The sequence below is a fragment of the Homo sapiens genome, chromosome 5, assembly GCF_000001405.40.
Source record: "Homo sapiens chromosome 5, GRCh38.p14 Primary Assembly".
NCBI classification, from domain to species: Eukaryota; Metazoa; Chordata; class Mammalia; order Primates; family Hominidae; genus Homo; species Homo sapiens.
The window spans coordinates 159,345,581-159,371,650 of NC_000005.10; the positions used below are offsets into that span (position 1 = coordinate 159,345,581).

The 26,070-nt window shown below is 38.3% G+C and overlaps 1 long non-coding RNA gene across 1 annotated transcript in view; it reads left to right on the forward strand.

The window, feature by feature from the left end:
• The window catches only part of IL12B-AS1 (IL12B antisense RNA 1), a 31,317-nt gene extending 14,063 nt beyond the window's left edge, over positions 1–17,254 (forward strand). The window contains exons 3-5 of the long non-coding RNA NR_037889.1: positions 1,936–2,025; positions 8,424–8,541; positions 16,628–17,254. This is a non-coding gene — a long non-coding RNA (IL12B antisense RNA 1). The remainder of the gene's footprint in view (positions 1–1,935; positions 2,026–8,423; positions 8,542–16,627) is intronic.
• The last annotated feature ends 8,816 nt before the right edge of the window (positions 17,255–26,070 follow it).

Below are 26,070 nucleotides of genomic sequence, written 5' to 3' on the forward strand. Positions count from 1 at the left end.
GTTGTAAATGTAGGAAGTAAGCAGATCAGAGGTTTGCTCAACAACCTGCCTAGTGAGCCAAACTGCTTGCTCTTGAGGCCATGTAGTCCTTCTGGGGCAGCTCTTCAAACCCTAGTCCACAGAGGCAGGTACCCAGTTCTTTCAGTGATGCCCCAAGCCAGATAAGAAAATGATGTTATGGAGATCTGGAATCCTCACCCAAAAGTCCAGCTTTCATTCTAAATGCATCCGTCCATCAGGACAGTCTTGTGTGTGTTCAGAGGTGAGGGATGAAAGAGAAACTTCACAGCAGAAGACCCTCTCAAAGTCATGTGCGGATCTGCACTGAGTCTCCTGTTTCTCCCTCTTCCCTAGCTATACCTCTTTTTAAGATCCAAAAGGGCAGGGCTGACTTAAGCCTTCTCTAGGGCCAGATATTCCTAGACGAAAACAAGGGGCTTCTTGAGAGGAAATGAAAGGAGACGGAGATGCGGTTTTGCCTTAAGGTTTTTAATGTGAGCCACTGAGAAGATTCATTTTGAAATAGAAGGATGTGTCTGACAGTGTGATGTAAATGCAGGCATTTTGGAGTCCCTGCTGGAGAACACACAGAGGTGAGTAGGGGTTCTCCAGTGACCTTGTGGGAGTCTTTGGCTGGGAAGCTAGCTGCTGGAGCTGAAAGGGCACAGGAATAGAAACCACACCACCTGGGGTCTTCTGATCCAGTGTTTTCCAAAGGGCAAGTGCCATGTGAGCTGGTTTTAGACTGCAAAGGAGCAACTGATTCAACAGTAACAAATTACAAATGAAAACTTTTCCCATTTCAAAGTTACTTTTCAGTTCTTCTGATGCTAAGGAGAAAGTGTCGGTTTTAGGCTATTGTCTCTCTTTTTTTTTTTTTTTGAGTCAGAGTCTTGCTCTGTCGCCCAGGCTGGAGTGCAGTGGTGCGATCTCGGCTCACTGCAAGCTCCGGCTCCTGAGTTCACACCATTCTCCTGCCTCAGCCTCCCAAGTAGCTGGGACTACAGGTGCCCGCCACCACGCCCAGCTAATTTTTTGTATTTTTAGTAGCGATGGGGTTTCACCGTGTTAGCCAGGATGGTCTCAATCTCCTGACCTTGTGATCCTCCCGCCTCGGCCTCCCAAAGTGCTGGGATTACAGGCATGAGGCACCGCGCCAGGCCTATTGTCTCTTTAATACCTCTCTATCACTTGTTGATCTCTCTTCTTAAGGAGGGCAAGCACTCTTCAGCCTTAGAGGCATTAGCAGGCAACAGCATCTATTCTAGTGGATCTCATCCTTGGCTGCATGATGCTATTTCCTGGGGAGAGCTTTAACAAATTACTTATGCCTAATTGCTTCCTCCCCAGAGGAATTCCAGTTTAATAGCTCTAAGGTCTGGCTTGGGCATTAGGATTTTTAGAAGCTCTCCAGACAACGGTTTCTAATTAGAATTGTTTTGTATTATATTTATTAACCTTCTATTAATGGCACGTGATACTAGTTTTCTACTGAAGGCATTGAAGTAAAATTTCCTTTCAACATCAGTTGACTTACATAAAAACAGTAAGTGCCTGTTAAAGGAAAATAAAAACTAAAGGCAGGAGGATTACTTGAGGCCAGGAGTTTGAGACCAGTCTGGGCAACGTAGTGAGACCCCGTCTCTTAAAAATAAAAGCCAGGCATAGCGGTACGTACCTGTAGTCCCAGCTGCTGAGGAGGCCGAGGTGGGAGGAGTGGGACGATCACTTGAGACAGGGTGTTTGAGGCTGCAGTGAGCTATGATCATACTACTGCACTGGTGTGACAGAGCAGAAAAAAAGAAGAAGAAAAAGAAAGATAACTAAATAATGCAGGTGGTATTTGCATATGGCAAAAACAAAATATGCATTCAGTGAACTTTGCCAAACTCTCTTCTGGTCCTGGCTTAGCTCTCCCATTCCTGTCTTCTTTAGGCCCAGTTTCCTCAACAATGAAATGGGACTAATTATCCCAGGTCACACTTCTCTCTGGGCTTACCCTGGGAATCAGATGATTGAGCTTTGGTAAGTATTATTTGATAAACAAGTATGAGGAAGGAAATAAAAGGGAGATCAGTGCTGCAGAGATGGCTAATTGGCAGATTTACACAGAACTGGATTTTTTGCGTATGTTAAACCAGGCTATTTGGAACTTCTGAGTTCCAAGTACCATCTTCTCTCCCTCTGCATCAGAATGATCCACTGGTCTCCATTAAAGGTATCATGATTGCCAATAATGATTTAGTTCTCCAGTGGCAATAAACTAAAGAACACTGGAAGTCCCACCAAGACTCCCAAGGATAGCGTGTTAGCATACAAGCTGAATAGCCTGTGTTGCAGTCCCTGCTAGTCAGGGTCTTCTGGATAATGCATTGCCTGTGTGAGGACTGGCCTGGTCCTCTGCAGGCTGAATTCTGCATTTAGCAGCTCAGTGTCCCTTCCACGGGCCCCAGTTTCTTCATCAGGAAGGTGAGGGGCTTGGACTAGTGTAGGATCAGGTATAAATGCAAATACCTCCAATACCAAGGAAGTAACTCAGGTGTGAGGCTCTGCTAAGGGAACAGGGAGTGGTCAGGCTTACAGCAAAGTAGAGAGCGCAGTCCCACAATAAAGATACTCAGATTCAAGTTTTGAAAACCAGGGGGTTGTTAAACAACAGTTTGGCAAGGTGACAGTTAGTGATTACTGGATGTGATGGTTTCTAAGATTCATTTCTAAAAATAATTTTATAATAGTAAAATAAATCCAAGGTGTCTACTGGGGTTTTTTTATATCACTGCTGTACTCAATGGTACCCAGAGGCTTCTCTGATAATAAGAACTAACACTTAGAATAAAAGCTAACATCCAAATGCTAAGTTCTTTAAAACCATTTAATCCTCACCATAACTGTGTGAAGCCAGTACTATTATTACAGCCTTATAACATATAAGGAAGTTAGGGTTCAGAGTGTTTTTTTACACACATTTTACAAATGTGTGTAAAATCTCTAGAGCAGCGTTATCCAATAGAAATATAAAATGAGCCATATATGTAATTTTGAATTTTTTTAGTAGCCATATTAAAAAATAAAAAGAAACATGACATTAATTTTAATTATATATTTTATGTAAACCAATATATATAAAATATTATCATCTTAATATGTAATCAGTGTAAAAATTAATGAGATGCCTTGTGTATTTTTTGCATTGTCTTTAAAATTTAGAGTTTCTTCTTTTTTTTAAACAAATAGCCTTATTGAGATATAATTCACATACTATACAGTTTGCCCATTTAAAGTATACAATTCAATGGCTTTTAATATATTTACATATGTGTAACAATTTTAAATTAAAATTGTGTAAAATTTAATATATTCACATGGTTACACACAAATGGTTACACATATGTTAATATACTAAATTTTACACAATTTTATATTTATTATTTATTTGATATATAAATATTATTTATTTGAGGCAGGGTCTTGCTCTGTTGGCCAGGCTGGAGTGCAGCATTGCAATCATAACTCACTGAAGCCTAGACCTCCTGGCTTCAAGCAATCCTCCTGCCTCAGCCTCTTGAGTAGATGGGACTGCAGGCATCTACCACCACACTCGGTATTAACTTTTTAATTTTTTGTAGAGACAGGGTCTCACTCTGTTGCCCAGGCTGGTCTTAAATTCCTGGGCTCAAGTGATCCTCCTGCCTCAGCCTCCCAAAATGTTGGGATTATAGGTGTGAGCCACCGCAATTTTAGAAAGTTTTCATCCCCTTGAGATGAAATCTCCTATCTTTTGGCTAGCACTCACCTACCACCCTGACCCCATCCTCAGCCATAAACTACCCCTAATCTAATTTAAATCTCTATAGACGTCCCTATTCTTTTTCATGTGACTATTCTGTTATCCCAGCACCATTTGTTGGAAAGACCATTTTCCCCCACTGAAGGGTCTTGGTACCCTTGCCAAAATCAGTTGACCATAGACATATGGGTTTATTTCTGTGCTCTCAATGTTCTGTTCCATTGATCTGTATGCCTATCCTTATGCCAGTACCATACTGTCTTGACTATTGTTGTTTTGTAGTTAAGTTTTGAAATAGAGAAGTTTGAGTCCTCATACTTTATTCTTCTTTTTAAGGATTATTATGGCTATTCCAGATCTCTTTTAATTCCATATAAGTTTCTAAATCAACTTGTTAATTTGTACAAAGAAGTCAGTTTGGATTCTGATAGGGAATGTGTTGAATTTACACATCAGTTTGGGGAGTATAACAATGTTAAGGATTGGAAAACCCGTGATTATAGGGTTTTCTCCATTTATTTAGACCTTCTTTATTTTCTCAACAATGTTTTGCAGTTCTCAGCATATAACTTTCATTTCTTTTGTTCAATTTATTCCTAAGTATTTAATACTTTTTGGTGCTATTGCAGATGAATTTTCCTATTAATTTTCATATTGGTCATTGCAATTGTATAAAAATACAATTATTTTTGTATATTGATCTTGTTTCATGCAATCTTGCTGTGATGGTTAATTTTTTGTGTCAACTTCACTGGGACATGAGGTGCCCACATATTTAGTCAAACATTATTCTATGTGCTTCTGGGAGGATGTTTTGGATTAGTTTGACATTTAAATTGATAGAAATTGATAGACTGAGTAAAGTAGATTTCCCTTCGTAATGTAGCTTAGCCTCATTTAATCAGTTAAAAGTCTGAATAGAAAAAAAGGCTGACCCTGCCCACAAATAAAAAGGAATTTCTTCTGCCTGACTACCTCTGAGCTGCAACATCTGTTTTTTCTTGCCTTTGAACTTGAATTGAAACATTAGCTCTTTCTGAGTCTTGAGTCTGCTGGCTTTCAAACTAGAACTACAACATTAGCTTTCCTGAATGCAAATCAAAACCACAATGAGATGCCATCTCACACCAGTTAGAATGGCGATCATTAAAAAGTCAGCAAACAACAGGTGCTAGAGAGGATGTGGAGAAATAGGAACACTTTTACACTGTTGGTGGGACTGTAAACTAGTTCAACCATTGTGGAAGACAGTGTGGCGATTCCTCAAGGATCTAGAACTAGAAATACTATTTGTCCCAGCCAACCCATTACTGGGTATATACCCAAAGAATTATAAATCATGCTACTATAAAGACACATGCACATGTATGTTTATTGTGGCACTATTCACAATAGCAAAGACTTGGAACCAACCCAAATGTCCATCAATGATAGACTGGATTAAGAAAATGTGGCACATATATGCCATGGAATACTATGCAGCCATAAAAAAGGATGAGTTCATGTCCTTTGTAAGGACATGGATGAAGCTGGAAACCATCATTCTGAGCAAACTATCACAAGGACAGAAAACCAAACACTGCATGTTGTCACTCATAGGTGGGAATTGAACAATGAGAACACTTGGACACAGGATGGGGAACATCACACACTGGGGCCTGTCATGGGGTGGGGGGAGAGGGGAGGGACAGCATTAGGAGATATACCTAAAGTAAATGATGAGTTAATGGGTGCAGCACACCAACGTGGCACACATATACATATGTAACAAACCTGCACATTGTCTTCATGTACCTTAGAACTTAAAGTTATTTTAAAAAAAGCCACAGAACTCTTTTGTAAGTAAATAAAAAATTAGCTTTCCTGGTTCTCAGACATTTGGACTAGGACTAGAACTAAGCCATTAGCTCCCCTGGGCCCCCAGCTTGTAGGCTTCAGATTTTAGGACTAGTCAGCTTCCATAATCACATGAGCGAATTTCTTATAATAAATCTCTGTGTGTGTGTGTGTATATGTGTGCAATATATATACATTCTCTTGGTTCTGTTTCTCTGGAAACCCTGATAAATTATACTTGTTGACTCAAATAATTTCTCGCTGGTCTTAGAATTTTTTATATTCAATATTATGTCATGTTTGAATAGAGATAATTTTACTTCTCTTTTCCCCAATCTGAATACCTTTAAATTCCTTTTTTTTTGTTGTCTAATTGCACTGGCTAATACTTTCAGTATAATGTTAAATAGAAGTGGTGAGAATAGATATTCTTGTCTCATTTCTGATCTTAGGAGAAAACATCCAGTTTTTCATCACTAAGTATGATGTTAGCTGTGAGTTTTTTCACAGATTCTCTTTATTAGGTTGAGGAAATTCCCTTCCATTCCTAGGTTTTTTGAGTTCTTATTCTTTTTAATATTATAGAAGAGTTTGGGTTTCATAAAATCTTTTTAAAGCATCTATTGAGAAGATTATGTGGCTTTTGTTTTTTATTCTATTGATATGGTGTATTATATTAATTGATTTTTTGATGTTAAACCAACCAATCTTTCATTCCAGGGATGAGTCTCACTTAGTCATGAAATGCAGTCTCTTTGTATGTTGCTGGATTTAGTTTGCTAGTACTTTGTTGAGAATTTGTGCCTCCATATTCTTAAGTAATTTTGGTCTGCAGTTTTTTTTTTGAGATGTGTTTGTCTGGTTTTGATATCAGGGTAATACTAATTTCATAGAATAAGTTAAGAAGTGTTTCCTCCTCTTTTATTTTCTTGGAAGAGCTTGTGAAAAATTGACATTACTTCTTTAAACGTTTGGTACAATTCAGCAGTGAAGCCATTTGGTCTTGAGCTTTTCTTTGTGGGTAATTTTTTTATCACAAATTCAATTTCTTTGGTTGTTAGAGGTCTACTGAGATTGTTGGTCTAAGATGGTCTAAGTTATTTAATTTATTGACATATAATTGTTCATAAGAATATTATAATTATTTTGAATCCTTTTTAATCCTTTTTATTTCTATAAGGTTGGTAGTAATGTTCCATCTTTTGTTTCTGGTTCTAGTAATTTGAGTTGTCTCCCTTTTTTCTCAGCAGTCTAATTAAAGGTTCGCCAATTTTGTTGATCATTACAAAGAACCAGTTTTTGATTTCATCAATTTTTGGAATGGTTTCTTTTTCCTCTATTTTATCATTTTCCACTCTAATCTTTATAATGTCCATCCTTATGCTCACTTTAAGTTTCATTTGCTTTTCTTCTTCCAATGTTTTACGGTTAGGTTATTGCTTAGAGGTCTTTCTTCTTTTTCTAATATATGCATTACAGCTCTAAATTGTCTTCTGAGCGGTGATCCAGCTACATTTCTTAGGTTTTGGTATGCCATATCTTTATTTTCTTCTATCTCAAAGTACTTTTAATTTCTCTTTTGATTATTTCTTTGACCCATTGGTTATTTAGGAGCATGGTATTTAGCACCTCTTAAACTGGAATAGTTACATTTCAAGTGCCTAATAGCCACTATGGCTGGTTGTTAGCATATTGAACAGTGCAACTTTATAGAGTTATTCAGTGATGCAAGTTGGGAGTTGAACCTGGTTTATCTGATTCCAAGGAAATAATCTTTGCAAACTGTCTCTCCAATATGTTAAATGTGTAAAATAGCAAGCCTTGCTAATTAGCCACTTTAGGAAGTTTAATTACTTTATTTTGGGAAAGTAATTTTAAACATTTTACCTTTTAAATTATTAAATAATTTTTTATTTGTGTATACTTTAGGCATACAACATAATATTTTAATATCCTTATATATAGTGAAATGATTACTACAGTCAAATAAATTAGCATATCTGTCACCTTTTATAGTTACCTTTTAAGCTTTAAAAAAATTTTAAACATAGCACACATGTAGAAAAATGCACAAAGTATAAATGTACAGCTCAATAAATTATCACAAAACAAACACACATGCATCCACTGCTTAGTTCAAGAAATGGAACATTGCCAATCACTTCAGATGTCCCCTCTGTGCCACTGCCCAATCTGTATCCTTCTCTTCCTTCCAAAAGTGATCATCTCACTTCTAACCAGAGTTGGATTTACCATTAAGACAATAGAGCCTAAGCTATAGGGGCCCTCATTTACACAGACCTCTTCCAAAGCCCTAAGGTGGGGTGGAGCGCTCAGTAAAGTGTTCATATGGTCATTTGTCATCATTTTTATGTGTTTTTGTAAATTTTACATAAGGAGAATATTTTGACCATAGTCACTTAAGGTGGTGGTGCTTTCTACTCTGACTTTCCTGCCTTCACATTTTGCCTTTTGTTGAGTGGTAATGAGATAGCTATTGATGTTTTTGGGGTTTGTCCAAGCCTTAGACTCTGAGGGTAGGGGAGTTGAGGATATATTTTATTGAGGTCAGCAAGATTTATTTATGTGACTCCAAGTCACTTCCATATTCAAACAGTTAAGTTCATGTAGGATTATATATCATAAGTTATTTATATATTGTCCTGCTGATGAACGTTGGGCTTATTTTGAGTTTTTTGTTATAACAAATTATACTGACACATCATTTTTGTATATTTCTTTTGGCAAATATACGTATGCATTTCTTTTTCCTTTTCTTTCTTTTTGTTTTTTGAGACAGGATCTCACTCTGTTGCCCAGGCTGGAATGCAGTGATACGATCATGACTCACTGCAGCCTCAAACTCCTGGGTTCAAGTAACCCTCCCACCTCAGCTTTCTGAGTAACTGGGACTACAGGTATGTGCATCCCCACTCAGTTAATTTTTAAATTTTTTATAGAGACGGAGGTATCCCTTTATTGCCCAGGCTTGTCATAAACTCCTGGGCTCAAATGATTCTGCTGCCTTGGCCTCCCAAAATGCTGGGGTTACAGGCTATGCATTTCTTTTTGCTATACCTCTCTATGTATGAAACAACCAGCTCATAGGGTCATTTGTATGTTCAACTTTGGTAGACATAGCAAACTGGTTTCCAAAGTGGGTATAAACACATATGTTCCTACAAGTAAGCACATGAGGGTTTCCTTTGCTTTACACCTTTGCCAAAAAAAAAAAAAAAAGAATAAGTAGTTTTTACGTTTCAGCAATTCTGATGAGGTTGTAATGTTATTTCATTCTCATTTAAATTTGTATATCCCTGATTATTTTTGAGGCCAGGCACCTTCTCAGTCTATCAGTTATCTGTTAAGTTTTGAATCGATTTGTCCATTGGTTGTCTTACCTTATTGATTGGTAGAAGCCCTTAATTTTGGCATGAGCTCTTTATTAGTTACATGTGTGGCAAATATTTTCTCCCACTCAGGGACTTGCTGTTTCACTCTCTTCATGGTAGGTTTTGATGACCAGAAGTTCTTAAATTTAATTTAGGCTAATTTATTAATCCTTTTGTTTCAGGTTAGTATTGTTTTATTTAAAAACTGTTTCCTGGGCTGGCTCACATCCCAGCACATTTGCAGACTGAGGCAGGAGGACTGCTTGAGCCCAGGAGCTTGAGACCAGCCTGGGCAACATAGGGAGACCCCATCTCTACAAAAAATTAAAAAATTATCCAGGCATGGTGGCTCGTGCTAGCTACTCGGGAGGCTGAGGTGGGAGGATCTGCTTGAGCCTAAGAGGTTGAAGCTACAGTGAGCCGTGATGGCACTACTGCACCCCAGCCTGGGCAACAGAGCAAGAACCTGTCTCAAAAAATACAAAATAATAAAAAATAAAAACTATTTTCACACTGCAATATTATGAAGATATTCTCCTATTACCATAGGATAATGCTTCCTTTCTAAAGCATTATTGGTTTGTCTTTCACATTTAGATATATAATTCACATAGAGTTGATTTTTATGTATGATGTGAAGTAAAGGTCAAGTTTCATTTTTCTTATGTGGATATGCAGTTAACTTAGTACCACTTATTGAAAAGATTGTTTTTTCTCCACTAGTTTGCAGTGACTCATCATTAGACAAGTATCTATATATTCATGAGTTATCTCTTCTTCTTCATTGATCTACTGGTCTACTCTTGTGCCAATACTGTGTTATCTTAAAATAAATCTTTTTTTTTTTTTTTTTTTTGAGATGAAGTCTCACTCTGTCACCCAAGCTGGAGTTCAGTGGCACGATCTCGGCTCACTGCAAACTCCACCTCCTGGGCTCAAGCAATTCTTCTCCCTCAGCCTCCAGATTAGCTGGGATTACAGGCATGTGCCACCACACTGGGCTAATTTTTGTATTTTTAATAGAGACGGGGTTTCACTATGTTGGCCAGACTGGCCTCAAACTCCTGACCTCAGGTGATCCGCCCGCCTCAGCCTCCCAAAGTGCTGGGATTACAGGGGTGAGCCACCGCACCTGGCCTAAAATAAATCTTTTAATGAGTAGAAGCAGTCATTCTATCTTATTTTTTCTGTTTCAGAATGTCTTGATTATCGTTGGTCCTTCACATTTCCATATCAATTTTAGAGTCAGCCTGTCAATTTTCATACAAGTCCTGTTGAAATTTTATTAGGATTACATTGTATCAGTAGATCAATTTGGACAGAATTGGTACATGGATGATACCCAATATCATAAATTTATTATATTTGGTATTTACTAACCGATACATGTGATCTACCACATGCTTAATTTATTTGTCTATTCCTGACTTCTTGAGATGAAAGCATAGATGATTGTTTTTTCCCCAGCCTTTCTTGTTTCTTAACATATTCATTTTAAGGTTGCCCGATGAGCATGCTTAGTTGGATTCCCCAAAATAATTAGTTAGTTAATTTGTTGACTGATTGATTGACACATTGCTAGCTCCTCTCAGACTGCCCAGTCTTCCTCATGCCCAAAGGGCTCTCATTCTGTTCATGATAACGCCCAAAATCTTTACCTTGGCACACTCGTTTCTCCATGATCTGCCCCTACTCCCTAATCGCTGTCACCTCCTACAATTTGTCCCCTTATCCACCTTGCTCCAACCACACTGGCCTCCTTACTGTTCCTCAACAACATCAAACACACTCCTGTCTCAGAGCCTTTGCCCTTGCTGCCACCCCTATCTGGAAGGTTTATACTTTAAATAGCCAAAAGGCTTTTCCTCTTCCTTCATTCAGGTTTCAGCTGAAATGCACCTTTTTTTGGAAAGACCTTCCATGACTACGTTATATAAAATGGCATTCTCTAGCACCCACTATCACCCATACTTTGATTTTATTTTTCTTCATAATGATACTTCCCAACTGACACAAAATAAATTTACATGTTTATTTATTGTTTGGCTACCATTTTCTTCTCTCTCTAGAATATAAACTTCATGAGGATAAGGATTTTTTTTTCTGTTTTATTTACTTCTGTATCTCCAAAGCCCACAAAATGTGTGGTACATGGTAGATGATTTATAAATACTTGGGTGATGGATTCTGTACTTGGCGTCAGAAGATCTGGATTAAATAGTTCTGAATCTGCCTCTTATTAGCCACGTGACCTTGAGCAACCAAATGAAACTTTCTAAGCCTCGATTCCTTTAATGGTGTAGTGGAATAATAATTATTGCCCCTGAGATACTGAGTGTAAAAGTACTTTATGAAGTATACAAAATCATCATAGACATTTTTCGATATTATTGTCAGAAAATGTCTTGCTTGTCCCAAATTTCTTTCTATTTGAACTTCCTTGGTGATAAAAATTCTCCTGTGGGAGAATTTTTGTTGTGAACATTTTGGACATTTTGTTGTGTTTGCCTCTAGCTAAAACATGAGCATTTGTTCCTAGAAGGGATAACATTTTTACACTTCTGTTGCCATTAGTATGTGAGCAAGAATTAATATATGAACTCATTGTCACTGATGACATGTGATATGGGTGGGTAGGTTTTGGTGGAGAAAGCACTAAGCAAAATGTCTAGAGCATTGTGGGGAGGGGAGTGCTGAAAAGGCCATTCTAAGTGGGTGCCTGGGGGAAAGATTAAAAAGTTCTTTATTAGTCAGGTTAGGCTATGTTATATTGCAGCACAACAACGTCAAATTCTCAGAAGCGTATCAGGAAAGGTTAATTTCTTATCCAAATAGTCTTCTGTGGTTTCATACTACTCTCCAGGGGTTGGGAGGAGATAGTTGTATTATTTCACATGCCTGTGTGGGGACTTTTTAGGGAATCTTAGTTAAACAACTTGGATAAATTTAATAAAGTTTTATAAGACTACCACAGTACAAATCTATCTTGGCAAAAGATTTTACAGTTTACATAGGAATATGCTTGAAAATACTATTGTTATTTTCTAGCCCTTTTGGCATAGAGTTTAGGTATAATTATCACATTTTCAACTGCAAGTTGTATCATGTGTTTTGATGGATACGTATGTTTTTGGGGAAATGGGACTCATTATTTGAATTAGAACCTTTAAAAGAATGCTACCATTTATTGAGCAATTATTGTGTACCAAGTAGCACAGTAAAAGCTTTGAATACCTTATCTCATTTGATGTTCAAAACAGCTTCCTGAGGGAGATACTATTACTGTATTCACCTTATAGTGAGGAAACTGATGTTCAGAGATGTGGAGTAATTTGTCTCCAGTCACACAAATAAGTGGAAGAACTCAGGCCAAATTCAGGTCTGTCTGGCTTCAGAACTTGTGGTCTTTACCGCAACACAATGCTATCTACCTCTCCCCAGATAATATATTCTGCATGTATGATTGCCATAGGTCTATCAGCAGCCCAAAATAGATGATGACAATGAATATATTAATATAATAGGGTTATATTAATGATTTCACAGCATTTGGGCCTGAGTGTAGAATCCCAAAGATGTTCTGTTGTGTATGTTTAACATTCCCAGTGTCACAATCACTCCTTTGGGTTAAGACTTTGCCTGTGATAGACCCAGGTAAAATGCAAATATCCTTCATGGGAGCAAAAATAAATTAACACAATCACTATGACCAGCAAGAAATAGCTGATTTCTATCATCAGGGAATAACCAAATGAAGAAGACAAATTTAAAATAGTTTGTTAGAAAGCAATTTAATATAACATATAATCAAATGAAAACTTAAATATAACTGAGTGGAAGTTATATTTTGCAGAACTATAATGGGTATGCCAATGAGGGAAGGGTTTTATAATTGAAAATAGTTATCAGGAAAGGATTCTTGGAGTAGTTGGCACTTGGTGTGAGTCTTGAGTCACTTGGAAACCATGTACTATATGTGTCTAATAATCCTGATTTTAAAAACCTATAATAAGTCTCTCTTTTTTTTCTGCCCATAAGAGTCCACCTGTTTCCATCTTCTGTTTCTCTGCAAAAATGCTGGTGCTTTTCACTCTAATCATGTGACTTGAATGGGAGCTGCCATCTTTTTAGAGCTCTTTCTCCTAGACAGTGTTGATTGGCTCAGAGATAGGCACTTGATTTAGTCCAGGCTAATCAGAATACTCAAACTTATGTCCACAGTTGGTGAGTTCAGTGATAAGTACCTGACCCAAGATTGGTCAATTCTATCAATTTGTAGGATATTTGCATTTGAGACTAGAAAAAGTGAATCTCAATTCTTCTATGGGTTTTGCTTCTGTGTTGTAAGATTTGAGGTACTAGAGCTCTGGGTGGCCATGTTCCTGGTTGGTCTATTCTAAGAAAGAATGAGGTGCCCTGTGGGGTTAAACAGAAATGAGAGATGCAAAGAGTGTAAGGTGGCATTTCCATTTCTGGTCTCTGAGCTCTACCTTTATGCACTGTTTTAGCTGTTCAGTCTTTATCTAAATAACTTCTAATAACTCCACTGCCACCGCCATCTAGCTATGCTCTTGGGTAATTTGAGTTGAATTTTTGTCACATGCAACTGAGAGTCCTGACTAGTATTTCATTGTGACTTTATATTGAAATAGGCAGAATAAAAATTATCTTTATTTTACAGAGAGAAAATGAGGCTCAGAAAAAATATGTAACCAAGATACTAAAAAAAGTATAGGAGTTAATCCAAGACAAACATTAGATCTTCTCTCACTGGAGAAAACATTGGTAGGTACAAGGAGCTAGGTCATGAAAAGTCTACTGGCTTAGGAGACTCAGTATATGAACTATGAATAAAATAGCTTCCCACCTCTTAGGGTATTCTGAATGTTCTGACACTAGATTTTGGTATCATTTTAGGTTGGGTTTTTTTATTGTTGTTGTTTTTGTCAGTAAAATCCTGGCTTTTGAGGAAAAAGGAGGAAGTCCAATTCCACCACAGAACCCACTTCCCTTTTGACTTTAGGTCCATGGGGTTGCCCAGGTCTGAAATAAGTTAATAACTATCTCTTTTGTACTGTAGTGATGTAACCCTGAAAAGAATGGGCTTTTGGTAAGGATTAATTTTAAAATGATACCAAATGATTGATCGTTCCACTCTTATCAAAGCATACTCGAATCTGTACTAACCCAGGGATACAGAAAGATTCAGAAAGCACAATCCTTTGAATTTTAGGACAAACTTTACTTAGAGAAGTATCTCCTTAATAAACAAAAAAAGAAAATAAACTTGGGACGTTTAAAACTTTACATTTTGCCATATTTCAAATAAGATTTAAGATAGCTTAAAAGAATATAAACATATAAGAGACAATTTAAGTTAAAAGTGGAAGAGAGGCCGGGTGCGGTGACTCATGCCTGTAATCCCAGCACTTTGGGAGGCTGAGGTGGGTGGATCACTTGAGGCCAGGGGTTCGTTCAAGACCAGCCTGGCCAACATGGTGAAACCCCACCTCCACTAAAAATACAAAAGTCGGGCATGGTGGCACATGCCTGTAAGTCCCAGCTACTTGGGTGGCTGTGGCAGGCAAATCGTTTGAGCCCAGGAGATGGAGGTTGCAGTGAGTCAAGATCGCACCACTACATTCCAGCCTGGGTGACAGAGTGAGACTCTGTTTCAAAAATAAATAAAATAAAATAAAGTAGAAAAGAAACAAAAATTATAAGATAGGGACATTAAATGGAGTTAGAAATGAGGCTAATAAATAATGAATATGCTGCACCGTGGAATACTACTCAGCCATAAAACAGAACAAAATAATGGACTTTGCAGCAACTTGGATGGAGCTGGAAGCCATTATCTTAAGTGAAATAATTCACAAATGGAAAACCAAAGATTGTATGTTCTCACTTGTAAATGGGAGCTAAGCTATGAGGATGCAAAGGCATAAGAATGACTTTGGGGACTCAGAGGGAAGAGTGGGAGGGAGGTGAGGAATAAAAGACTACACATATTGGGTACAGTGCATACTGCTTAGGTGATGGGTGCATCAAAATCTCAGAAATCCGGCCGGGCGTGGTGGCTCATGCCTGTAATCCCAGCACTTTGGGAGGCCGAGGCAGGTGGATCATGAGGTCAGGAGATCGAGACCATCCTGGCTAACACGGTGAAACCCTGTCTCTACTAAAAATACAAAAAATTAGCCGGGCGTGGTGGCAGGCACCTGTGGTCCCAGCTACTTCGGAGGCTGAGGCAGAATGGCGTGAACCCGGGAGGTGGAAGTTGCACTGAGTCAAGATCACGCCACTGCACTCCAGCCTGGGTGACAGAGCAAGACTCCGTCTCAAAAAAAAAAAAAAAAAAAATCTCAGAAATCCCCACTAAAGAATGGATCCATGTAATCAAAAACTATCTGTACCCCCAAAACTATTGAAATAAAAAAAAAATGAATGTGACACAGTCCTATATGTATTTGGCAACTAGCCCCAAGTTGGGTTGGGCTTTAAGCTTTCTTGTTGTCAGTGCAAATAGAGAAACTCAACCAACTACAGTTTTGCAATATCCACGAGACAAATGTTTAGGAAAAGTACAACTACATCTAACACTATGTCCAGAAACAATGTGTCCCTGGGTTCTTACAAAGAGAGCACTGTATTATAAAATACAGAAGGCCTGAAGATCCTCCTTCCAGGAGACCCAAGGATGAGGTTCACAGGCCTGGTTCTTATAGGTGGAAGCATTATTTCTCAAATTTCAATTGTCTTTATTATTTCTGCCATATATACTTACTAAATTTTAGAAATTATTATTATTATCATTATTATTATTTTTTGAGAGGGAATCTCACTCTGTCACCCAGACTGGACTGCAGTGGCATGATTTCAGCTCCCTGCAAGCTCTACCTCCTGGGTTCAAGTGATTCTTTTGCCTCAGCCTCCCACATAGCTGGGATTACAGGTGGGCGCCACCACACCCAGCTAATTTTTTATATTTTTTTGGTAGAAACGGGATTTCACCATGTTGGTCAGGCTGGTCCCAAACTCCTGACGTCAAGTGATCCGACCGCCTCGGCCTCCCAAAGTGCTGGGATTACAGTCATGAGCCCCTGTGCCCAGCTAGAAATTATTAACCTAATTTTTTTTAACGTAGATTTTATTTTGACTCAGTTTTAAACTTAATCTTAGCAAGGTAGAAAAGCTAGTTATGTTTTTTTCTAGTATCGTTTAAGTCAAGTTTATAAGGATTAAAATTAAAAAGTCTATTTTAATCTAAAATTTTCTTATGTACCATTAATAGTTTGTAGGCCACACCTTGGGAAACACTGACTTAAGGAAAAGGAAAAATCCAGTATTTGGATATCCATGACCTCATTGCATTTTAATATTTCTCGAGAGGTGTCATCTTAATATTTCCTGAGAGGTATTATTATCACCAACAGAGGTGGGGAAACAGGTTAAAGAACTTTTGTAAGGTTCCACAATAACTGAGCAGAGATGAAACTCAAGTCTTTTGATGAAAATCAAGTTCTGGCTTCTAGATGGGTGTAGAGAAGGCCTTTTTCCCAAACTGAAGTTCAGACTCTCTTTGACTGTTTACCCCTTTGCTTCCTGCCAGAATGCCCCACCCCACTTAGTCCATAGTGATGCCCACCTGTGGTTAATGGAGCTGAGGCTGCTGGACCAAAGGGAGGAAGTCTGTTAGGCATATGTGGAACCCAAAAGAGGAACTTCATCAACTGTCATGGACAGCTCTGCCACTTTGTGACCCTGTGGACTTTTTGGGAAGTGTTTTTGTGGTTCACCAGTCTCTCATTAGGCAAGGCCATTTGTCCTGGGTTGGTCTTCTTCATTGGTGGAAAGTACAGCTGGGAGATTTGGAATGGTTGCAGATTGACTTGACTCTCATAAGGAACTGCCACCATGAGCTTTTGGGGAAAGACCTCAAGCTGTGGTGTGTTGCTGAGGATTGTGGGATTCCTCCAAATCTTGGGGAACATTTTGAGTCATCACTGGCAGCAGATTTCTGTTGACAACTTGAGCAACTTCAGAATGAAGAAGCCATCTTCATCTCTCACATGAATATGACTTTGGGTAAATCATCTCGAAATCTGAACCCATGGTTGTGATCCACACTCCTCCTGAGTTCTGATTTTTAGTGTAACCTTTTTCTTCTCATTTTTTCTTCTTTGTGCATCTCTTAAGGAGGTTTTTAAAATCTCATAATTAAAAAATTTATTTCTTCAAAACTTTTTATTTTGAAATCACTGTAAATTCACATACATTTGTATAAAATGCCACAGAAAAATCCTGTGTGCCTTTTACTCAGTTTATTCTAATGATAACATCCTTAAAGAGATTTAAAAATTACTGAGATATAATTGAAATATGAGAAAATTCACTCTTTTATGCATTTAAATATCCTTTATGTTTTTTCATAGCTTATTAGCTCATTTCTTTTCAGTGCTGAATAATTCTTAATTGTCTGGATATACCATAGCTTATTTATCCATTCACGTATTGAAGGATGTTCTAGTTGCTTTTAAGTTTTGGCAATTATGAATAAAGCTGCTGTATACATTCATGTTTAGGTTTTTGTGTAGATATAAATTTTCAAGCTCTTTGGGTAAATATTCCAAGAGCACTTGCCGAGTTGAATGGTAAGAAACTACCCAACTGTCTTCTAAAGTAGTATACCGTTTTGCATTCCCACCAACAATGAATGGGAGTTCCTGTTTCTCCACATTTTTGTCAATATTTGGTGGTGCCTGTGTTTTGGTGCCATTCTAATAGGTATGTAGTGGTATCTCATTGTTTTATTATTCATATATATTCATTGGGTAAAGTGCAATTTTGCTGTTGACATATTGCACTGTGGTGAAGTCAGGGCCTTCAGTGCATCATTTATCACTAGAGCAAGGCACATTGTACCCACCAAGCAACCTACCATCACCCACCAACCTTCTATCCTTCTGAGTCTCCATTGTTCATTATCCCAGACTCCACATTCTGCTTTGTGTGTACACATTATTTAGTTTCCTCTTATAAGTGAGAACATGAGGAACATGTCTTTTTGTATATGGGTTGTTTCATGTCAGAAAATGGCCCCCAGTTCTATCCATGTTTCTGCACAAGATATAATTTCATTCTTTTTATGGTTGAATAGTATTCCATTGTGTATATACCCCACATTTTCTTTATCCAGTCCTCCATTGATGAACACTTAGATTGATTCCGTATCTTTGCTATTGTGAGTAATGCTGTGATAAACATATGAGTGCAGATATCTCTTTGATATAGTGATTTCTTATCCTTTGGGTAGATACTCAGCTGGGTAGGACTGCTGGATTGTATAGTGGTTCTATTTTTAGTTCCTTGAGAAATCTTCATACTGTTTTCCATAGAGGTTGTCCTAGTTTACATTCCCACCAACAGTGTGTAAGAGTTCCCTTTTCTCCAAATCCTCTCCAACATCTGTTATTTTTTTATCTTTTTAGTAATAGTCATTCTGATTGGTGTAAGATGATATTTCATTGTGGTTTTAATTTACATTTCTCTGATAATTAGTAATGTGTAACTTTTTTCATATACACGTTGGCTATTTGTTTATCTTGTTTTGAAAAATGTCTATTCATGTCTTTAGCCCACTTTTTAATGGGATTATTTTTTGTTGTTGAGTTGAGTTCCTTGTAAATTCTGGATATTAGTCCCCTCTTGGACGTATTGTTTGCAAATATTCTCTCCCATTCCACAGATTGTTTATCACTCTGTCGATTATTTCTTTTGCTATGCAGAAGCTTTTAACTTTAAGTCCCATTTGTCTATTTTTGTTTTCGTTGCTTGTGCTTTTGAGGTGTTCTTCACGAATTCTTGACTAGCCCAATGTCTACAAGAGTTTTCCCTATTTTTTTCTAGCATTTTTATAGTGTCAGGTCTTACATTCAAGTCTTTAATCTATTGTGAGTTGATTTTTGTATTTGGTGAGTGATAGGGGTCCAGTTTCATTCTTCCACATATGGCAATTCGATTTTTCCCAGCACAATTTATTGAAAAGGATGTTCTTTCTCCAGTATATGTTCTGGTCAATTTTGTCAAAGATCCGTTGGCTGTAAGTGTGTGGTTTTATTTCTGCATTCTGTATTTTGTTCTATTAATCTATGTGTTGATTTTTATATAAGTATCATGCTGTTTTGGTAACTATAGCCTTGTAATATAATTTGAAGTTAGGCAATGTGATACCTTCAGCTTTTTTTTTCCCCCCTTAGGATTACTTTGGCTATTTGGGCTCCTTTTTGGCTCCATATGAATTCATTTCTTCTAACTCTGAATCCTGAATTATTTACTCTAATTCTGTGAAAATTGACATTGGTACTTTTTTTAGACCTCCTGTGTGGACATGACATTGGCATTTTGATAGGGATTGCACTGAACTTGTAGATTACTTTGGGCTGTGTGGTCATTTTAAGACTATTAATTTGGCCAGGCACGGCAGCTCACACCCGTAATCCCAGCTCTTTGGGAGGCTGAGGCAGGTGGTTCCCCTGAGGTCAGGAGTTCGAGACCAGCCTGGCCAACATGGCAAAACTCTGTCTCTACTGAAAATACAAAAATTAGCCAGGCATGGTGGTGCATGTCTGTAGTCCCAGTTACTTAGGAGACTGAGACTGGAGAATCGCTTGAACCCAGGAGGTGGAGGTTGCAGTGAGCCAAGATCATGCCACTGTACTCTAGCCTGGGTGACAGAGCGAGACTCCATCTCAAAAAAAAAATTAATTTTTCCAATCCATAAGCATGGGATGTTTTTCCATTTTTTTGTGTCATCTATAATTTCTTTCACCAGTATTTTGTAATTCTCCTTTAAAAGACTTTTTACGTCCTTGGTTAAATATATCCCCAGATATTTTATTAATTTTTTGGTAGCTATTATAAGTGGGATTGCCTTCTTAATTTGGTCCATGGATAGACCATTATAGAAATGCTACTGCATATTAATTTTATATCCTGAAACTTTACTGAGTTCATTTATCAAATGCAAAAGGTTTTTGGTGGAGTCTTTAGGGTTTTCTAGATATAAGATTATATAATCAATAAGTGAACAAGAATAATATGACTTTCTCTTTTCCAGTTTAGATAGCTTTTATTATTTCTCTTGCTTGATTGCTCTGGCAAGGACTTGCAGTACTGTGTTAAATATGAGTGGTGAAAGTGGGCATCTTGTCTTCTTCCAGTTCTTAGAGGGAATGCTTTCAATGTTCCCCATTAAGTGTGATATTTGCTGTAGGTTTGTCATATATGGGCTTTATTATGTTGAGGTATGTTTCTTTATGCATAGTTGGTTGAAGATTTTTATAATGAAGGGGTACTGAATTTTATCAAATGCTTTTGCTGCATCTATTGAGATGATTACATGTTTTTTGTCCTTAATTCCGTTTATGTGTTGTATCACATTTATTGATTTGTGTATGTTGAACTATTCTTGCATCCTCTTTTTTTGTTGTTTTTTGGGTTTTTTTTTTTGAGACATGATCTTGCTTTGTTATTCATGATGGAGTGCAGTGACACAATCATAGCTGACTTTAAGCTCAAACTCCTGAGCTCAAGCTAAGGGAGGAGACCACCCCTCATATTGTCTTATGCCCAATTTCTGCCTCCAAAGAAAGAAGTAAAAACTAAAAGGCAGAGATGAAATCCACAGGCAGACAGCCTGGTGCCACATCCTGGGCCTAGTTAAAGATTGACCCCTGACCTAACCAGTTATGTTATCTAGATTCCAGACGTTGTATGGAAAAGTGTTGTGAAAATCCCTGTCTTGTTCTGTTCTAATTACCGGTGCATGCAGCCCCCAGTCATGTACCCACTGCTTGCTTAATTGATCATGACCCTCTCACACAGACCCCCTTAGAGTTGTGAGCCCTTAAAAGGGACAGGAATTGCTCACTCGGGGAGCTCGGTTGTTGGAGACGTGAGTTTTGCCAAAGCTCCCAGCCGAATAAAGCCCTTCCTTCTTTAACTCAGTGTCTGAGGGGTTTTGTCCGCGGCTCGTCCTGCTACATTTCTTGGTTCCCTGACTGGGAAGCAAGGTGATTAATGGACGGTCAAGGCAGCCACTTAGACGGCTTAGGCCTGCCCTGTGAAGTGTCCCTGCGGGGGACTCCAGCCAGCTTGGGCGACACGGATCCTGAGAGCACCCCTGGGTAGGCAATTGCCCTGGTGGAATGCCTCGCCAGAGCAGCACATGGCAGGCCCTCATGGAGGATCAATGCAGTGACTGAACACTGGGAAGGAACTGACACTTGGAGTCCGGACATCTGAAACTTCGTAAGACTAGTCTTTGGAACTTGCCCTCTCCATTTGAGTGGAAGCGTGGCCTGATCACCCACAGTGTGCCTATACCAGCACTTTGGTTTTTGTTTTGATTTGACTTGAATTGCTTAATACTTTGGTTTTGGTTTTGACCTGGCTTGGATTTCTTGATACTCTGATTTTGGTTTTGATTCTGCTTTGGTGTAAACTGTAAAAGTGTGTGTGTGCTCTTTTTACCCGTTCTTTGTTTTGTGGTGTGTGTGTGGTGTGAGTATGGTGTTTTGTCTCAAAGAAGCATGGGTCAGGCACAAAGTAAGCCCACCCCACTAGGAACTATGTTGAAAAATTTCAAGAAAGGATTTAAAGGAGATTATGGTGTTACTATGACACCAGGAAAACTTAGAACTTTGTGTAAATAGACTGGCCAGCATTAGAGGTAGGTTGGCCATCAGAAGGAAGCCTGGACAGGTCCTTTGTTTCAAAGGTATGGCACAAGGTAACCTGTAAGCCAGGTCACCCAGACCAGTTCCTGTATATAGACACTTGGTTACACTGATTTTAAACACCCCCCCAACAGTGGTTGAGAGAACAGCAGCATAAGCAGCTGGCAGAGGCAAGGAAAGACCAGCAGAGAGAGAGAGAAAGAGAGAGGCAAAGAGAGAGAAAGAGACAGAGGCAAAAGGAAAGTCAAAGAGAAAAAGAGACAGAAAATCAAAGAGAGAAAGAAAGAGATATACAAGTAGTTAAGAAAAAAAAAAAAAACAGTGCACCCTATTCCTTTAAAAGCCAAGGTAAATTTAAAACCTATAATTGATAATTAAAGGTATTCTCCGTAACCCTATAACACTCTAATACCACTTTGTTGTCAGTGTAAACAAGGGTGTATCCCAAAAGCACTGAGGCCTTCCTATCAAAAATCCTTAACCCAGTAACCCACAGATGGCCCAGATGCATTCAATCTGTAGTGGCAACTGCTTTGCTAACAGAAGAAAGTAAAAAAAATAACTTTGAGAGGAAACCTCATTGTGAGCACACCTCACCAGTTCAGAAGTATCCTAAAAAGAAAAAAAAAAGGATAATTTAACACTAACCAATGAAAATTCCCTTAACCCAGCAGGTTTCCTAACAGGGGATCTAAATCTTAATTACCATACAAAGGTCCAACCAGACCTAGGAGGAACTCCCTTCAGGACAGGACAATGGATGGTTCCTCCCAGGTAATTGAAGGAAAAAGAAAGCCATCTATACGAATTCTAAGTTAATTTGGACAAAACAAGGTCTTATTCATAGCAAAGGATAATTAAAATCCCAAGCTTACATGGTTTTCAACAAAAGTAAAGTTTGCTAAAAGTTAACAGTGTAACATGTATTATAGTAACTTCTAATCTTGTGGCCTTAGACAGTCTAGTCCACAGACATAAAGCAAAGAATGGTTACCGTCTTTGGAAAAAAAAAAGGAAAAAAAGTGGGGGCAGAATTTATGTAAAAAGAATGTTATATGGTAAATTCTTATCCTGAAATAAATTAACTGGTTGTTTAAAAAAAGAAATGTTTGTAATAAGTCAGAAAGTTGAGGCATGTCGAAGAATTGTCTGCTAAAGTCGTGAAAGAGAAAAATATTATAAAAAAAGAATTTATGCAAGAAATGTTGTATAATTTAAAAGTAACTAGGCCTCCTGAAGGTAAAAACTATTGAGAAAGAAAACAGTTTATGTGCATGGTGTATAAGGAAGGTAAAATATACCTTTAGTAAGAGGATTATAAAGAGGCATAAGAATGTAAATTTTTACCTACATTAAAACATTAAAAAAGTTATTGTTTTGAAGGTTTAAGCAAGTTTTAAAACATTAATTGTAAAGAAAATTCTGTGTGTAAACATATTTGCTGAAGTTAAAAAGCTATCATCCAGTTTTTCTGTGAACTGGACATTAAAGTAAAAATACAATGGGTTTTTCTTAAAGCACTAACCTGCTCTTTAACAAAGATTATAAAAGGTTAAAAAGAGTCTATAAAAATCTTACCTTATGGTCCAACATTAAAAATTGAATAAATATGTATACAAATTTTATTAAAACTAAGTTTAACATTAATAGCACACTAATATAAAGGTGAAATTTAGCTTATCTGGTATAAAAATCATACAAGAAGCATTATTAAATATAAAATGATGTTTGGCTTTCTTTGGTCTAAAAACTAATAAAAATAGGTGCTAAAAGAAATTTCTCAGTAAGAAGGCACCAAGGACTATAAAGTCCACTGATGTCCCCACATTTAAAACAAAAGGTCAGTTTCTTAGAAATTATGTACTTGGCCTATCTTCCACTTTCCTTTCCGTCAAAACTAAAAGTCTTTTAGCACAGGTACCACCCCTAGAATTTCCAGTAAACCATCACTAGCCTGAAGATCACCTTCTCATCAAAGGGTAGAAAGAAGAAAAACTCAAGCCAGCCTAGGAAGGACCCTACCTTGTGCTTCTGACCACCGAGACTGCTGTTCATAGAGTGAAAGAAGGATGGACTCATCACACCTGAGTCAAGAAAGCACCACCCCCTCCAGAGTCGTGGGCCATAGACCCAGGGGAAAACCTTATCAAACTAAAGCTAAGAAAAATTTAACTCTTTCATCTATTCTATTACTCTTTCTTCTTTCCTTGCTCTATTGCTGACCATCTAGTTATTAACATAACCAAGTCAATTTCGCCTCACACTATTGCATTTAATGCTTGCCTTGTTATACCCTGTGGGGACTTGCCAAGTCAAAGACAGCTCTCTACTTCAGAAAAGTACTTCTGTCCTTCCTGACTCTCCTCAGACTGGGCATTAGTAAATTAGGACCATTTAATCTGGGGAAATTTCGATAAAGACTCCAGTGTCAACCAGGAGTCTTGCCCCCCAATGTACAGCTTTTATGCCATAGTTGGTCCAACGTTCTGTGGACAACTAAAGAGCAAGGATGGACTGCCCTAACTGGTTTTTATAATTTCCTAAAATCACACATTCATTTTACTAGAGGATTATAGAAGTTAAAGACTTAAAACAAACTTTGGCAATTAAGACAGCATACCAAGTTGCAAATGCCTGGTTGGAATGGATCAAATATTCCATCTGCAGGTTAAACAAAAGCAATTGTTATGCTTGTGCACATGGCAGACCAGAGGCCCAGATTGTCCCCTTTCCTCTAGGGTGGTCCTCCAGTCGACCAGGCATGGGCTGCATGGTGGCTCTTTTCCAGGATTCTACAGCCTGGAGTAATAAGTTGTGCCAAGCTCTCTCTGCTATATCCCAAAGTTCAGCACCTTGCAGGTCAGCCCCTGAGGGCCATCCAGCCTCCGTCTCCCAACACTAAGTTCACTTCATGTCTCTCACCACAGGGAGGAAACTTAACATTCCTTGGAGACCTGAAGAGATGCAGTGAGCTTAAAAATTTTCAAGAGCTTATCAATCAGTCAGCCCTTATTCATCCCTGAGCAGATGTGTGGTGTTATTGTGGTGGACCTTTATTGGGCACTCTGCTGAATAACTGGAGTGGCACTTGTACTTTAGTCCAATTGGCTATCCCTTTCACCCTGGCATTTCATCAACCAGAGGGAGGAAAAATAAGACATCATGAAGCGAGAGACACCCCTTATTGGTCTTTAGACTCTCACATCCATTTAGATGCAATTAGATTTCCACGGGAAATACCAGATCAATTTAAAGCTTGAAATCAAATAGCTGCAGGATTTGAGTCAATATTTTGGTGGGTGACAGTTAATAAAAATGTAAATTGGATAAACTACATCTATTACGACCAGCAGCAATGAGCTTTTCATGAGTTAAAAGAAAAACTCATGTCGGCCACAGCCCTGGGGCTACCTGACCTAACAAAACCCTTTACACCCTATGCATCAGAAAGAAAAAAAATGGCAGTTGGAGTTTTAACCCAGACTGTGGGGCCCTGGCCAAGGCCAGTGGTCTAGCTCTCAAAACAACTAGATGGGGTTTCCAAAGGCTGGCCCCCATGTCTAAGGGCCTGGCAGCAATAGCCATGTTAGCACAAGAAGCAGATAAACTAACCCTTAGGCAAAACCTGAATATAAAGGCCCCCCATGCTGTGGTAACTTTAATGACTACCGAAGGACGTCACTGGTTAACAAATGCTAGATTAACCAAGTACCAAAGCTTGCTATGTGAAAATCTCTGCATAACCATTGAAGTTTGCAACACCCTAAACCCCACCACCTTGCTCCCTGTATCAGAGAGTCCAGTTGAACATAACTGTGTAGAGGTGTTGGACTCAGTTTATTCTAGCAGGCCCAACCTCTGAAACCATCCTTGAACATCAGTAGACTGTGAGCAGTACGTGGATGGGAGCAGCTTCACCAATCCCTGCAAAGTGACTCTGAAGAAGATGACTAGCCCTGCTCCAGAAGCTGACTGGTCCACACATGGCAGAAGCATGAGAAAACTCATCATGGGACTCATTTTCCTTAAAATTTGGACTTGTACAGTAAGGATTTTAACTGACCTTTCTCAGACTGAGGACTGTTCCCAGTGTATACATCAAGTCACTGATGTAGGACAAAAAGTTGCTACAGTCCTATTATTTTATGATTATTATAAGTGTACTGGGACTCTAAAAAAAAAAAAAACTTGTTTGTATAATGCTATTCTATTAACAGTATGTAGCCCAGGAAATGACCAACCTGATGTGTGTTATGACCCATCCGAGCCTCCCATGAACACAGTTTTTGAAATAAGATTAAGGACTGAGGACTGG